Source organism: Homo sapiens, assembly GCF_000001405.40.
Source record: "Homo sapiens chromosome 14 unlocalized genomic scaffold, GRCh38.p14 Primary Assembly HSCHR14_CTG1_UNLOCALIZED".
Taxonomy (NCBI): domain Eukaryota; kingdom Metazoa; phylum Chordata; class Mammalia; order Primates; family Hominidae; genus Homo; species Homo sapiens.
In genome coordinates this window covers 21501-39702 of record NT_113796.3, presented here as the reverse complement: position 1 = coordinate 39702, position 18202 = coordinate 21501, and the positions used below count along the sequence as shown (strand labels likewise).

The following is an 18202-nucleotide window of genomic DNA, read 5'->3' as shown; positions in this document are numbered from 1 at the left end:
GACACTGAGCTGAAAACCCTGGACTCTATTGCTAAATCAAGGCTCCTGAATCCGTTCCCTCTGAGAAACTGTTGCTGTGGTGCTGCCTTCACAAGCACTCTGCTGAGCACTCATATTGAGGGGCTGTGCTATCCGTCATCGGACAAGCTGCACCCAGAACTGTTCAGCTGACAAACTGGTAGCAGTCCAGAAACACAGTTCTGCTGCATAGTGAAAAAAGGCCAATTTAGATTCTTTTTCATAGAGAGAAAAACATAAACATGTGATTGAACGAGTCTCCTGTATTAGACTAATTGGGTTGGCTTTGATATTTAATTGCTAAAAACACACTTAGAATATAAACCTTACTGTGTCAAGGTCTCAAAGAAGAAATAATTGGTATGGTATAAAGTATTGAATTGTATGCTACAAACTTCTAAGCTAAAATATTTTCAATGTATGCAAGGATAGGTGGCACACATATTATATATTATTCCCCCATTAAGCAAATTTATAATGAGAGAAAACTATCTTCCATAAAAAAATAAAAGCCATGTAAAATTAAGAACTAAGTTTTTCTGCAAAGACTAGACAACGATTGCTAACACATAAGGTCAATGAGAGAACACTCAGAGAAAGCTTCATGAAAACAATAAATTGTCTGCCACTTCTGAGTGAATGAGGCTAGATGAATAGAAACTGAGAAGGCAGAAAGGATAGCATGAGCAAGACAAGTGCTGAAATCTGCCCAATTAACTCTGAGGATAAAGTCCAATGGCAGAGAAATAAAAACGCGTGTCCACATAATAACCTGTAAGTGAATGTTCGCAGCAGCATTTTTCATAAGAGCTAAACAGTGGAAACTAACCTAAAGGTCCATCAACCGATGAATGAATGGAAAACCAGTATAGACATGGAATAGAATATCACTTAACTGTAAGAAGAAATAAACTACCAATGTGTGCTAAAACATTATGCTAAGTGAATTCTGAAAACATTATGCTAAGTGAAAAAGCCAGTCACAAAGGACTACGTATTGTATAACTCTATGTATATGAAATAGGCAGAACAGGCGAACATATGGAGACAAAAGCAGATAGATGGTGGTTGCCTACAACAGAGGTAGGTGGAGGGACATGGAGGAAGGCTGCAGTCATGCCTAGGAGATGTAGCGTTGCTTTTCAGGGTGATGAAAATGCTGTGAATTACTAATAGATACTGAGTTGTACATTTTAAATGGTTGAACTCTCTCAAATGTGAATGATATCTCAGTGAAACTGTTTTTAAAATCCGAAGGCAGGATCAAGATAATTTTCTCAACTCTCAATTTTTGATGTACATGTTATCTCAAATTTAAATATTTCCACAGTTTTATAGTATATTTTAAATAAAAGATAAAGAAAATGCCTAACTTTTCAAATAGTTTGTAAATTAACCTAAAACATGCACTTTTAAAAGAATAGTATAATGGCCTTTCTGTACAAGTTAACCTAGAATCTGTGAAATAAATAGACACAGATTCTGTGTCCACTCACAAAAGTGAAGAAATAAGACAATTTTCTGGAACATTCCATGAAACATTCTTCTCTGATTTAATCTGGCCTGCCTCATCAGAGCAATACAAAAATTACTTAAAAATACTCTTTTAACAGGACAAAAGTCAGTTTTCTATGAGGAATGATATATAATTCTCAACTTTTCCAAGGGTACGTATTGTAAGAGAAAAGGTATGCAATGGTTTTTCAAAATGGTAGAATGAAAGTCACAATATAAAAAAATAAGTACATTATAGAGATAGTAAAGTGGAAATAATTCATTGTAATGAAAATAAAAAATCAAGCTTCTGCCATAATTAGTATCCTAAAACATGTTATGTAATTCAACTAGCTACAGAATAACAGTTGACATGCTAAGTTCCATACATACTTGACTTTCCACTTGAAATAATTTCTTCTTTGGGACCTGTGTCTCATCCAAATTAATGTGATAATGTGATATACCTTCCAGTGGAGACTCTAACATAGTTAATTTTTTTAGGCTGTCAGCCGCTTCTTGTTGAAGTTGTCTCACAACCACCTGAGAAAATATTTTTGTTACTGATTTTATAAATTGCCTTATTAAATTATGTTAATAATATTTAACTCTAACATACGTACTTTGAAAATTATCACCACACATATCAATTCACCTTCTTTTAATCACATGTACACATTTTTATTTATTACTGAATTCAGTGAGGGATGCACAATATGTTCTCTTCCTGCCAAATTGGTATTCTCTTACTTACATAACAGATTCATCCCACCATTCAATCATCTTAGAAGCTCAACTCAACCTCAAAGTTCCTCACATATTCAATCACCTGTTCAAATCCTTCCAACAGATTCCTATCTCAGAATAAAAGTAAAATTCCAATGGCCTTTGAGGTCCTAGGTAAACAGGTCTCTACCTCCCTCTCTGACTTCAAAGCTCCTACAACTCCCTCCTGTAATTACTCCATTCCCACTGTACGTGAAGCCTGCCACCCCTCTGTCTGAAAATAGGGATCTAATGCCTTACTCATAAATCACAGGCAGCTACAAGTATCTTTGTACTGAACAAAATTATATTCCAATGATAGTCATTAAGCCTTGAAATAAAAATTAGGAGCTAATTATTAATATAAATATTCAAAGTAAACTATAAATACCAGTGGGAAGACTAAACCAAATATAGTTTTGCTAAATATTACCACATGTATCCTAAATTATGATTTTATAACAAGTAGGTGCCTTTAAAACATTACATAGTCATAAAAATATGTAATTTGACATATTTTCAGATTTGTTAAATTAATATGATTAATAACAAAGATATACCAACTAAAATACATAAAAAGCTACTTAAAGCAAGGTATTACAAGACACAGCAATACACTTCAGTTCATCTGGGAAATCTAGAATTAAGTGTCAAAGATAATCAATTAAATTTTAATTTGAAAATACTCATTTCAGGTGTAAACATTTCCATTTATACTTACATTATGGTCTTAACATGTGGCAACATAAAGTCATTAAAATTATTATTTCAGCAGTACAGAACTATCTACCTTAAAATATGACTCTGTGCCTAATAAAATTTCATAGGTGACACAATGTCTTTTCTCAAAGTAAATCATCTCTCACCTCTACCTTTTATTTCCTAGAAATGGGGCACGTTTCTAAGCTGGTATAGTAAACACGGTTTTCCTTTTTTTTTATTAAAACAGCTTTGTTGAAATATAATTTACATACTATAGAATGTATCTGTTTTAACTTAAAGTTAAAAGAATTTTTAGTCCATTTACTGAGTTGTGCAGCCATCTCTACAATCAAACTTTACAGCATTTCCATCACTGCAAGATCCCTGACGCCCATTAGCAGTCACTACCAGCTTTCAGCCCCAGCCCTTTGCAAACATTAGTCTACTTTTTGTCCCTATACGTTTATCTTTTCTGGATGCTTCATGTAAATGGAATTATACAGTATGGTAAACACACTTTTTATCCATTGATTTTTATATTCAACTAAGTTCAACATGTATCCAGAACCAAATGTTTAAATTTTCTTTCTAAAAGTTTGAAAATATTTATCTTCCTTGATACTTACTACTCTTTCTGCTTTCTCTCTCTCATATCGAAAGAGACTTTCTTTTTAATGATCACATTCGTTCATTAGCTTCTTATTTTTCTCTTCTAGCATGTGGTCTTTCTTTCCACTCTCAATAAAGCCTCTTTGGATATTAGTTACTATCTCTTTATGATCCTCTTTCTGATGAACATCATCTAGTTGCTGTTCAATGCACGGATTTTCATGTTGGAGTTGACATATCCTCTCTTCTACACAGCTCCACTTTCCAGTGGAATTATTCACTTTAGCTTCTGCATTTTCATACATCTCTTTCATTTCCTTTATTTGCTGCTGTGTTTGGCTTAGGTCGTTTGGAGAGTTTCTAAAGCCAATGACTTTTTTCTGAGAGTATCTCTGTTCTTACGGAACTTATCTTTTAAGGTATTGAATTTAATTTGCTTTTTAGAAAGTTGTTCAGTAAGAAACTCATTCTTCTACTTCGGAAATATCAGAACTCATTTTTACTTGTACGGAAACATCTTGTGTTCACTCTAATGCAAGTTTTAGGTTTCTTTCTGTTTTCACACTTTCACTGTGCTTACTTATAGCAGCAGTCAGTCTAGACTGATGATTCAATTTCAGCTTCCAGTCTTTTGTTGCTTTCTTCTTCCTTCAACAGTTCGGAATTGAGCCTTGTATTCTCAGCTTTGAGATCATTAAGCTCTTGTTGATACCGGAATGCTGTTCTTGTTATCAATTCCTCATTGAGTTTTATATACTTTTCAAGGGCAGCGTTTGTTTTTTTAACAATTTTAACGTCCTTAAGATATTTATTTTCTTTTTCCAGGTTGTCATTTTTCATTGTGCGTATTTCCTGTCGGAGTATAGCAATATCTGTCTTCAAAATGCAATTTTCATCCATCAGATCTTTCATTTCTTCCTGATTATGAAAATCCTAAATAAAACAAAAGAAAGTTTTAGCTAGTACTCAATAAAATATCATGATTACCTCTGAAGCTAAAGTATAACCTGCACATCCATATACTAAAAAGGTTACTGTAAGTGGATATCCAACTGGAGAAAAAGTTGAAGCAAAACTTTGAACTTTATAGAGCATAAGTTCCAAAAAGTTCAGAAATTTATTTAAAGTCAATGAATTTATAAAAGTAAACACACACACACACACGCACACCAGAGAATTTTTAAGAATTTCAGAATTGGAAAAGCCTTTCCCTGAATTACAACAAACTCAAAAGCATAAATTAAAGCATTAACAAATTTGACTAAATTAAAATATATCAAAAAATTGCATTTACACTTTGATATCTAACCCATACACCACCCTATAGTAAGAACCTTAGTTCACACATATTTGGACAGATAAAATTTCCCAGAGTTATTACAGTTCTGTTTCACTGATAACATTCTATTTTAATTTGACTCTTTTAACACTTTTATAGTCAGTTGAAAGAATTACATTTACTAAATCATAAATCTAGACATTATACTAGTCACTCCTATATACATTCATTGATGAACCCATCTAGTTACCACAAATTTGAAAAAGAAATGTTAAAAATATAAGCAAGCTACAGGATTTTCCCCAGGACTTCTTACTCTACTTCTAGTTCTCTGAGAGATCACAGTTACTTCTGTGGTGTAAATGTATCAATACGAAAGAAAAGTTTTATTTCAAAACACCAATGGTAAATAAGATAAAATTTATAGAGCTCTTCTTAGAATATCATGAGATTATTTGTGATTGCAATAATTTGTTTCCTCTTTATAGTATTAGGTACAGTAATCAATATGAAATGGCAGGAAGTACAAGGAACAATTTTACTGGGAACAAAATCTTTATCAATAGGTTATCACTAAGTATATATTATGGCATATTATTGTTTTCAAAAGCTCTTTGTAATAAAATAATATCCTATGTGGATGCCAAGATTTATAATAAAAATAATTGTACCTGTAAGTGTCATCATTCATTTTTTAAAAATGAGATAACATTTCTGGTTTGTTTTAGACCAAAATATTATATATTAAATCAAGAGGATATTATAAGTAACATTGATAAAATAAAGTTTAAAATATAGAATTTTTACCAAAGATTTATTTATCTGATTTGGAGTATTTCTTGTAGTCTTCGGTTTCATCTCTAGTGATTGAATAGTTGGTTCAAGTTGTTTTGCTTCAACTTCTTTCTTATATTGTTTCCCTTTCCTTTCTAATTCTTCTCTATTTTTTTGCACAGCATATTAACATTTGTTTTTTCTTCACTTTCTTGTCTTAAGATGCATCTGCAGACAAAGACATTTATCTTAAAATTCATTTTGTTAAAAAATAAAGAGATCATCCTGTGATCTACCTCTGCAGATGCTCTTTATCATCCTAGTAAAATTTCTATGTTCTGGATTATTTTTCCTTTGTAGTTCTCAGATATTTAATTTCTCACTTCAACATCTTCAAACGAATGCATATACTTGAAAATTAGTAAGGAAAGAATATTCTGCTAAAGTTTTTATTACTAGTCACTCTAGTATGTATTATACAAAAAGATACTGGAAATAATTCAGTATAGTTAGAAGTTCAAAATTACCTTTTCAAATCACACAGTCATAATTACTACCTGATTAGAAAAGGTCATTTACAATCAACTAAATTTTTAAAGTTACTATTTATTGACAAGCGTATAAGTTCACTAGAAATAAATTTTCATCTCTATGAAATATTGCAGGTGTCTCTCCAAATGATTTACAGAGTAAGATATCTCTCACACAAACTATATCTGCAGATTATTGTCATCTAAAACTAGGCTAAAGAGTCTAACATCTGTTACCCCACACTTTTTCTAATTCTTTCTTAATACTTCCAGTTCACCTTCTTATTACATATATTTTATATATTTATTAAGCTATTGTTCATTATGTGTAATATATAATTAATGCCCTTAATAAGTGTGTGTATGTTTACACAAGTTATGTTTTCCTGTGAAATCTAGTCCCAGAAGTGGAGTTGTTGAGTTAAAGGGATGTCAGGTTATTTGAAATTTTGATAAACAGCACTAAGTTACCCTTCAGAAATAATTTACCAATTTCATATACCAACAGTGTATGAGAATGCCTTTTTCCTCTCATTTTCAATGGTAGGAATTACTTTTTCAATATCAGCATGACTTTACAAAATATATCTTATTTTATGTTAATTTGCATTTTTCTGATTACTAGGCAGGGCTAAATATCCCTGGTAAAACTATAAAACTTGTTAATCATAATGAACATTAGTCCAATTTTGAATTAGTTTATAGCACAATGACAATTATCTGCTGAGAAATACTGCTATAGGTGGCCAGGCACGGTGGCTCACTCCTGTAAACCCAGCACTTTGGGAGGCCGAGGTGGGCAGAACACCTGAGGTCAGAAGTTCGAGACAAGCCTGGATAACATGGTGAAACCTCATTTCTACTAAAAATACAAGAAATTAGCTAGGCATGGTGGCACATGTCTGTAATCTCAGCTACTAGGGAGGCTGAGTCAAGAGAATCACTTGAACCCAGTATGCATAGGTTGCAGTGAGGTGAGAACACACCATTGCATTCCAGCTTGGGCAACAAGAGAGGAACTCCATCTCAAAAAAAAAAAAAAAAAAAAAAAAAAACTGCTATAGGCTTACTTACCTATCATGCTTTTCCTTCAGTTTCTTGGGAAATTGCTGAGGATACGTTTTCCCAATCTTTCTTTCTTTGGTTAATCTGTCAGCAGCAGCAGAAGATGTACTATGACATACATTTTCTGATAGTTGTATTTTTTCACTTTTGTTTGTATTATTTCCTTCTTTGACCTTTAATAAAAGTAATATGAATAATAATTATTATTTTATTCAATAAAAAAACTTTTTCCCTGATTTTTTAACTTGATTCAGGTTAACTATCACCATTTTAATGATAAAAGTATTTTGTGCTTACTTTAATTTTATCATTATACATAATAATTATAAGATACTCATCATTTTATCATTGAAATTTTTGTCAAGTCTGCTCATTTCTGTTTGAGTGAATGGAAGAATTTTCCAAAATTTCAAAAAGGACTCTTCTCCATTTTGTGCTTTTATTCGCATCCACTCTTTGCTATCTGATATAAATGTTTATGCTAGTTGACTGGCAGAAACAGAGAAATAAAAAGACACAGGCATAACATATATCTTCTGTCATTGCCACATGGATTTTACATGAAATAGCCAGATTAAGAGGATGTAACCTTGTAGGCCTTCAAGAACAGTAAAGAAGTTTTCCCTTTTCTGCACTGAGCTATTCTTTTCCCCACTGCCTTTTATCTCTTTTTTTTTTTTTTTTGAATCCTGGGATATCAAAAAAGTGAAAGTTCTCCCTGAACTATGGGAACCAATGTTTGTTTGCCACAACACAAGAAGCAGAATGAAACTGCTGAGTTCCTAGTGCAGAATTCTGGAAAACGAGATGCTTCCCAGATTTCACATTCAGTTACCACAAATGTTTATAGGTGGAACACATATGGTACAGTTATCTACTTAAGCCATATTATCTACTGAAAATGGGAGTCAAACCAACCAAGACATACGAAATGTTTCATCCAGAGCTCTTGAGGCGGCATTCCCTAGCATTTCATGGCACCAAATAACATTATACAATTCCATGTTGCTGAATTACATAAATTACCAGATAAATTTATCAAATTAGTCAGATATATTAAAAGTCTAACGAGCAAAGCAATTTAACACCTCAGAGGGTGGAAAAAGGCCTCATCTGCTTTTACTTTGAAAGAAGAAAATCTCTAGATTTTTGTCTATCTTTAGAACACAGTGTACAGAACTCAACTTTCTACTAAAGAGTCAAAGGTTAAATTTTTAGCTAAGAAATTATGCTTCTTACATGATAAAAATCATACATGCCAAAACTTACCATACTTTATTAAACAACATAATGTAAGGTCTGATTCAACAGAAATATTGGAGTGGTGATTTTTTTAAATATGTGGAAGTATATATTTGTTTTCAAAATATTGGAAATAACCATGATGGAACTATAAATTCAAACAGTTTGAGCTAAGCAGATAAACTTGCATGCATGAAAACACATTAAACAGACTCATTTGTCTGGGAATATTCATTGCAACTCTCAAGGCTAGAAGTGTTTTTGTGGCTCATCTCAGTCATTGCTTCCCTCCCATTGTATTCCCATTCTATCATTAAATAAATGTAATTCATCTCTAAATGACTATAGTAAAAAGAATCTAGAATCTAAAGCTTATTTCTTTAGCAATTTCTTTATGTTGATCTGGTTCAGAAGGTCACATGGTATATGGCTGAATTAGTTTCCCAGCTCATATGCCACTTGGAAGACTGAGAGTGAGACTTAGGTTGATTAATGAACAAACATTATGAGAACATTCTCCGAACCATTGTTTAGATAGCAGGACTAGTCTACTTTGACACATAATTACACATTTAGAAAACCCCGCTGTAACTGTACACATGGGATTTTCTTGAATAGAAAATTTGACTAAATCAAATAATTGATAAAGAGAAAAAAGAAGCAGCAAGTGAACCTCTGTCTTTTTGAAGTTGGACTTTCTCTTTCTCCAAAGCCAGGAACTCTACTTGTAACATGCCTACCTCATTCTTTTTACTATTATTATACTTTAAGTTCTGGTACATGTGCACAATGTGCAGGTTTGTTACGTATGTACACATGTGTTATGTTAGTGACCTTGAAATATCTTGCTGTAAGTTTCTAGCTATATTTTTTGATGTTCTCTCACTATGTGGCAAAGAATAACCCAGATTTTATAATTCAAGATTCATGGTTTTGTAGTTATTAACACTGGGATTGTCATTCAGTGGCTTCTGGAATAAGCATTGTGTTGGTTTTCTGTTTTTATAAGTATCTGTAGCAGCAGAAATACTGTGGCTTTCTATCTGAATCATATGCTTCATTTCTTTGGGGTGGGTAAACCACAAATCAAAAAGACTTTCTGGATCTCTAGACTGAGACCAATGCCTAATGTCTAATTTCCAATTAGTGGTATTTGGGTTTATACATTTTTCCATTTGCATGTCAAACTCTTAATCATCTTTCATTTCAATCATAATTACTGGGTTCTTTACTTTTTCAGTTTCTATATCATAACAAAAATTTTCATCATCTGTGTTAGAAACAAGCTGTGTGTCTGGTTTGTTATCATTTTTATAGTCTGATTTATTTTAATTTAAATGAAGCTTAGAAGATGACTGGTAAGTGTATTTCAGGGACCTGGAGTGTGAATGGAATAAAAAGACATTTGACATGGGCTTCCTCTGTTCAGGCGCTGCCTGGACTGCCACAGAGCTAGACCCTCCAGATACATTTTTCTCCTCACAATCAGGGACATGATTCATCACACTAGAGGGCACTCCTTTTTTGTTCATCCCTCTTTAGAGTTACCATGTAGGAGCTCTTCCTCAGGGCAAGCAGTAATTTTGGAGTTTTCAGAACTTTTACCAATATTCAGCTTGAACTTGTTTGTAATGAATTTTAAAGAAAGTCATGAATATATAGATAGATTCCCTTTATCACAGTTCTTACCCAGTTCTGGTTCTTGAGACTTTTTTGGGGGGGGTCAGGTGCAAAATGGAAAACAAATTTGCTTGTTTTGTTTCTCAGATGTCTTTTCTGTCAGAGTGCATGTTTTAAAATTAGCTTTAATCAAGTATAAACAAAGAAATATTAGAAAATAATTAAAATTTAACTGTGAAACTTAATCTATGTGTTGCTACTCTTAAATTATGGGATTGTATCTAAAAAGTGAAAAATAATTTGCCTTGGCTTAACATAGGACAGAAACATGAACCAGCAAGCTGAACTCTCAGTGTCTGTTTGGACTAAACTTAATGCATTTGTGTAAAATCTACCAGAAATGAATTCAAAGATGATAGGTAGTATTATAAAAGCTTCCTCTCTTACAAAGACTTTACCTCAGCATACCAGAAAGAGTGAGCCCCTACAGTGCATGTTTATTTCTGAAGATGAACTAGAGCACTAGGCAAACACTAAATTATTAAGAGCTAAACTGAACACCAATAAGAAAGAGAAGCAAAATTTTAAATTCTAATTCAAATGATATACTATGATAGTGTTATGTATCTAGATAGAATTTCTGCTTATATCCACTTCTAATATATTTTAAGTTCCGGTAGTGATAGGGTTTGGATTTTTTAAATTTTAGTAATGTTTACTATGTATTTATGTTGAAATAAAGTTATTGTTCACACCCTGACACCAAAGGTCCCATTCTGCAAGGTAGGATTCTCTTAATAGGCAACTGCATTGACTTTTATGACCCCATTCACTCCCTGAACACAGACACAGAAGTCAGCTGGTGACCACAAAACAGAATAAATCTTTAACCTCGGCACTGGTGACCAGCAATATAAAACTGCAACATTTGAAACACTGGCAATGATGACTCCTTTAACACTAGTTTAACTCAGTGGCCATTGTTGTTAAACTGTTCATAATTTCTATTCCTCAGTAATATGACCCAATACTTCATGTTACCTTGTGTATTATGAGTAAGGTTACATAAATAAAACAGCAAGATAATTCTGAAAATTTCTTGCCTCAATTCCAAGGGTAAAGACAACTATGAGTTACTAGAGATACTAAGAATTACTAGAATAACTAATAGTTACTAGAGATAGTAAGAATATCTTAAGTTTCATAACTGGTTAAGATGTTTTAAAAATTAAATATAAAATTATGATCTATTGGATTCTAAAGGTATAGTCTGAAAGGTCATGTCATTTGGACTATGCTTTGTTAGTAAAGCAAAAAAAACCTAATATTAAACAAGAACTTAAATTTTCATATACCTGTGATTGCTTCTTTTCACTTCTTTCACACCTTTCTTGCTCTTCCTCTAAAGCCACTGGTAAGGTTTGTTCTGTTGACAAATTCATTGATTTAGTTCAAATGAACTAAGAAGAGTTAGATAAAGACTATAATCTTTATAAAAATAAATAGAGAATAACATTTCTTTGTATTTTATATTTTGAGAGTTTGAATGAAACAATGTTTACTGAAATATTTACTTCTGTAAGAAATACTTCTAATTATCCAAAACTTCAACAAACCACTTGGGGAGACACCAGATATCACCAGATTCAAGCCATGCAAAATCTCAGGGACACTCACAAATTGTTCCACCCAACATAAGTCAACAAAACTGTTGGAAACAAAACAGAAATTTGAAATACAGTCAAAATATACAATGTAATGCTTTACTATACTTCATAACAGTATCTTTTTAACAAGACACTAATTGAGTTAGCAGTTACTAATAATTTGCAAAATTATTGTTGTTTATACCTCAATTAGTGTGCACCCCATTTTTTATATCACAAATGTTTTCCCCTGCTATTCTGAAAAATTTATTTTCATCTTTTAAGACTCAGAAAGTAGGCTGGGCATAATAGCTCACATCTGTAATCCCAGCACTTTGGAAGGCCAAAATGGGAGAATTGCTCAAGGCCAAAAGTTTAAGACCAGCCTGGGAACCATAGGTAACCTTGACTCTACAAAAAATTAGACAGGTATGGTGATATGTTCCTGTTGTCCCCGCTACTCAAGAAGCTTAGATGAGAAGATCCCTCGAGCCCAGAAGTCTGAGGTTTCAGTGAGTCTCAATCATGCCATTGCACTCCAATCCTGGGTGATAGAGTAAGAACTTGTCTCCAAAAAGAGGAAGAAAAAAAGGCTCAGAATGCTATGTGAAATCTTCCTTGATTCTAGCTATCTTTCTCCACACACACAGGTGTCTGCTTCGTTGGGGTCCCTTAGTACCTTGTCAATTTTTCTAGTGTCACTTTACCACCTGACCTGCACATCATGTCTTTACATGTTGACCCCCTTTGCTGCTAGACTGTAGAGGACAATCTTTTGAATCATCTTTGTATAAACAGTCTTAATTTTGCTAAATAATTACTTATTGAGTTCCTGCTAAGTGTTAGGCACTGGGGAATAAGGAAGGAAAATAGAAGCTGTCAGGGATGGCTTTCCTAAAGATCACCCATGAGCTGAGACTTAGAGAGTGAGGTTAGCCAGATTAAGCGAGGCAGAGGGCAGGAAAGGGTGAGCACATGCCAGGCGGCAACAAGAGAGGAAGAGAAGCCTCCAAGAGAGTATGTATTTCTCTGCAGAAGAGGAATGGTGAGGGGCCATTACCAGCAGCTCAGTAATTCCAGAGAAAAAGGCAGATGGGGAAAGGGATACAGATGGAGATTTGGGCAGAAATCAGTTTCCTTTCCTTTTCTTTTTTGGGACAAGGTTATACTCTGTCTCCCAGACTGGAGGGCAGTGGCATGATCTCAGCTCACTGCAACCCGGCCTCCCAGGTTCAAGTAATTCTCCTGCATCAGCCTCCTGAGTAGCTGAGATTACAGGCGCGTGCCACTACCACCTGCTAATTTTTGTATTTTATTAGAGATGGGGTTTCACCTTGTTGGCCAGGCTGGTCTTGAACTCCTGACCTCAAATGATCCACTTGCTTCAGCCTCCCAAAGTGCTGGGATCACAGACATGAGCCACCTTGCCCAACCCAGAAGTCAGTTTCTGAAATCCTTATATAAACCTTTAAGATGCTTGGACATTAGGTATTCAGGAGTGGTTCACGGATCTATTTGCATTAAGGATAATTCACTCTAAATACTGTGAGGAGCATAAAATTATGAGGCATATAAATCAATGAACAAAGATAAAATATAAGGCAATGTTGCAAAGGTGATGCAGGCCTGAGGAGATGTTTTCAGAAATATTTAGGATATAGGTATCAGTGGCCATTATAAGAATGAATTTCTATTGAATAAATAAATGTATATATCTGGGTCCCTGAAGAAATACACTCTGCTCATTACTTTACAAATTTTATCAAATGAGAAGTAAAATAATATACATAAACTCTTTCAGTTACTTGTATTTACTTTACCCTTTTTCTTTTCAGTTTTACTGTGCCAAGGAAATGCATTTGGGTTTTGTGGTGGTTGTTGTGGTTGTGGTTGTTTTTGTTTTTTGAGATGGAATTTCACTCTTCCTGCCCAGTCTGAAGTGCAGTGGTGTGATCTTAGCTCATGGCAACCTCTGCCTCCTGGGTTCAAGTGATTCTCCTGCCTCAGCCTCCCTAGTAGCTGGAATTACAGGCATGTGCCACCATGAACAGCTAATTTTGTGTTTTTAGTAGAGATGGGTTTCTCCATGTTGGTCAGGCTGGTCTCAAACTCCCAACCTCAGGTTATCTGCCCGCCTCAGACTCCCAAAGTGCTGGATTACAGGCACTAGCCACCACACCCAGCAATATATGGGGATTTTGTTTTAAAAGTTATGTTTCCTGGATCTACCAAGCTCATGAGAAAATAGAGCAAACAAGTCATTTGCATAGGTAAGAAACTTTGGATTTATAGCTTGTCCTCACTACTTTAGAAGATTATCATCATGTTTTGCAAAGCAAAATGTTAAACACAGACACAAGGGGAAAAAGAAATTAAAACTATAGGGGTGGGTGAAAAAATATTGCATAATTTATTACTGTTGACCTCATCATATGACTGATTAAGGGCACTGAATTTAACTTGGATGTGAAGTAGACCTCATATTAGCTGCAGTTAATCAGTAGACCAGGCGTCCTAGCAGAATTAAATTTGATGCTCCTGTGTTATCTTTAAAAGACACAGCTTTTCTGAAAACCCTTACTCATAGTGCATGATTATCCATTAAGAAAAGGTGATGGAATATGTGAATACAGCTGAGGAGACACCACAAGGCAAATGCTAAGTGGTTCCCATTAATATTGCAAAAATAAACACTATAAAACAGAAAGCCATAGACATTATTTAATATTTGGTTTTGGGAGGTATTTTTAGTGACACTGCATACAGTTGTACCTAATAATTGCTAAATTAGAGACGTAAAAGTAAAACAAAGGCACATTGTGTTTGAGTAGGAAATCTATAGACATCTAGCTGGTTTTCCCATCCAGCCACAAAATTCTAAATATAATCATGGTACCTGCACTCAAATTTATGTTAAATACCAACCTCAATGAAATCACTCTTTCTTCTCATTCTCTTTGTTATTTATATGTTGCTTTCCTTAAGGGAAGAATACAAATGCCTTGCTAAGAACCATTCTGTTTGGTTGTAGGCTGCATAAGGGGAGTAAACACAAAGTACATTTGACCACAAAATGACTTTTTAAAAGTCAGAACTATGGTAGCATGAAGCCAAACGAGGTAATCTAGAATAAAATTTTCTATGCTTCTTTCCCTTCTTTGCTCTCTTTCTACTCTAATAACTGCGATTCACACAGGTAAAGAAGAGTGTAATTCCTTGATAGAAACACAGCTCCAAGATTAATCCTTTCTTTAACTATGAAGTTCGCGTGTCCAAAATCTGTGGTAGTTGCTGTCTGATTTTTATCACTGATGGTGATACAGATATTTATCATCAACTCACAACTTCCCAAATCTTTGAAAAGTCTTACTATTGATGGTTCAACTAGTAGAAACATGATGTAAAATATCTGAAAATAAAGTTTTTATTTATTAGAATGTAAATAATAATACAAATTGTAATAAGGTGTAAAAGTTCTTTCTTCACTGAAGCAGTACCATGTTGTCCTCTACCCCACAAATGCACTACTCCCCCGTGGTCTAATGTATTTTAAAAGTCTTGTAATTGCTATTAACTCAGAAAAGTTTACTTAACTTGTTCTAAGCTTCTGGTATTTACTACAGTTTACTTTCAATCACTCAACCATCTCTGTTATATATGTTGTTTTCCATGAGAAATTTGTTTATTAGTAATTAAGATTCTTCAGGTATAAGAAAATATTTCAATAACTAAGTTTGTGCATAAACACATTAAGGTCAAATACCCATGACATTATTGTGTGTTTCTGTGTACTAGAGACAAAAACTTCAAAAAAAATTTTAATGAATATACGTTAAATTAAAAAATGCTTTCATTAAACTGAGATAATCTTCCCTCAATGCATGAATACCTTCAGAATTCACATAGACCAAATAATTGTATAAAGTATAATAGCCTTAAAAATCTTATTTGTAGCTGGCACAATGACTCCCACCTGTAATCCCAGCACATTGGCAAGCCGAGGTGGGCAGATCACCTGAGGTCAGGAGTTCAAGAGCAGCCTGGCCAACCTGGTGAAACCCCATCTCTACTAAAAATAGAAAAATTAGCAGGGTATGGTAGCACGTGCATGTAGTATCAGCTACTCGAGGGGCTGAGGCAGGAGAATTGCTTGAACCCGAGAGGCAGAGGTGGTAATGAGCCAAGACTGAGCCACTGCACTCCAGCCTTGGTGACAGAGCAAGACTCTGTCTCAAAAACACAAATAAACAAACAACCTAATTTTTCCCATATAAGTCTATGTTCATACAAGATCTGAAGAGTACACAACACCGTGAGACAGGACAGACATATATTTTAAAAGTTATATTCCTGGTTTCTGTAAAAATAAAATAGTTGAATTTAAGCTTTCAAGACAAGTCAACGAAAAGAGAATGCAAAAGTGAAACTCGAAGGGTCATTTCCCCATCAAGGGCTCATGATCACTGGACATTCACAAACTATACTGTTCAAAACATTAGATCTGAATTTTGATCCGAGTATCCCTTTAGTAGCAGTTTCATTCAAGGATGTCCAAGAGGTAAAATAAGACAATATCATTTGCTATTTTCAGTTTTCTTTTCTGAGAACAGCCCAGCATTCTTCTTCAGAGAAATGAATTGTGCTAACTTCATAGGCTAAAGGCTCATGAGTCATAGTTCTAAGGGTATTAATAAAATATGGTGGTGTATGCTTGTATTCTGAACTTTTCAGGTTTAAACTCTCATATAGTAAACGCTAATAGATACAAACCAATTAAAGAAAAGCCCTCTTAATCTGACATTATTTTTCTTTTTATTTCTTCATTTATCAGCAACAGGAGAGTCTAACTAAATGTGGTAAAGTGGTATGAGGGAATACAATGAACAGTGTAAAATGAATTAAACCAGGGATAATCACACCAATGTGGGTACAAGTGGAAAATATAATACAAAACACACCAAAGAAAGTGGCAGAAAGGTATATAAAGTGTATAACCACTCACATACCATTTTAGGACACAAAAAATTCTGCATATTATTTCTGAGCATCACAATGTAATTAAAGATTTCAAAAGGGCATTGAAATGAAAAACAACCAACTTATGATGTTGGTAGCCTCTATGCAATCATGTTTTAAAAACTTTAACACCAAAAAGGCTCAAAATCACCATTTTAAAAGACTGTGTCTACCAGTCATAAATGAATCATTACTTTCGTCATTTGTAATAGTCAAAGATGCCACAAGCGCACGCATACACACATCTATATATACACCTACACACACAGTCTTGCTCATTAGAACATCTGATAGGTTTCAGATCATCAGTGTAATAACACTAGCAGCAAGCCTCTGAAGTTAAAACAGAAACTGACACTTTAATAAGTAAAGCTTTCCTCTAGGTAAAGATCAGAACTCCAACTAGCACTTAACTCACTGGAAATATCTTAAGAGTCTCAAAATTCACTGCTTTGAATCCCTGACAAGTATAAAAATTTTATACTGAAAACTTCATGCTATTCAAAACATTTAAACAGAAACATCTGACTTAAAGCTTACATTTTTAAAATCTTTTTTATGCTTCTAAATTTGTTTTTATTCAAATATGGATACCAACAATAACATTTATGTCAATGCCTTCTGTTCAATATTGAACAAATAGAATTAGGAATAAGAATAATATGAGTACATCCAATCATTGAATGTACTTTATTTCCAGTATTCCATTAAATGTACCTGCTCTCAATGTCTGTACATACTTTCTTTGTACTGCTCCTTTCACAGCAGGATCTTCCACTTCAGTGCTAGGCTGAATGGGTTTTAAAAGATAACGATTCATAAATCATATATATTTTATACAACATGGAGTTAGTGATTCAAAAATATACATAATTAATTACCTTCAAGGAAGGATGTTTTGCAGGAGGCCCTACAAAGCAAAGGGGATATGTCATCAATTATATGTAAGTATGACAAGGCCAACCAAACATTCATGCAGTGTTACTGTCGAGCTGAATTCTCAGGCCTGGCTATAAAAATAATTACTTAAGGTTTTGAGGGTTCTTCTTGGCTTCTTCTTTTCATTGCCTAGGACAGCAACATGACAGAAACACAATGAGGAAAATAGGAATATAGGATTCCCAAAATGCACAGTTTATATTTCAGTAGTGAGATTATGTTTCAAATGCCTATACTTAAAATAGAAAAGCATTGATATAACCGTGAACATGTGGACTGATGAGGAGAAAAGGGACCATTAAACAGAGGGGCAAATCAAACCTGAGAGAATCAATGTCAAAGCTGATGGTGAATGTACAGAGTATTTTAACTCCACACACCAGAGGCATTGCTGCCAGCACAGCACAAATAAATTCCCCTTGTCTTGTCACTGAGGAAATACGCAGTTGGGATGACAGTTCAGGTGAATGTGTGATTCACCTCTCATCAAAGAAAGGGTTCTA

General features: G+C 34.0%; 1 long non-coding RNA gene and 1 pseudogene across 4 annotated transcripts in view; one reads left to right on the top strand and one right to left on the bottom strand.

Annotated features, from left to right (window-relative positions):
* LOC105379271 (uncharacterized) overlaps positions 1–18202 on the top strand; it is a 114785-nt gene that overhangs the window by 85145 nt on the left and 11438 nt on the right. The window lies entirely within an intron of this gene.
* Positions 3358–7413, bottom strand: ANKRD20A15P (ankyrin repeat domain 20 family member A15, pseudogene; annotated as a pseudogene).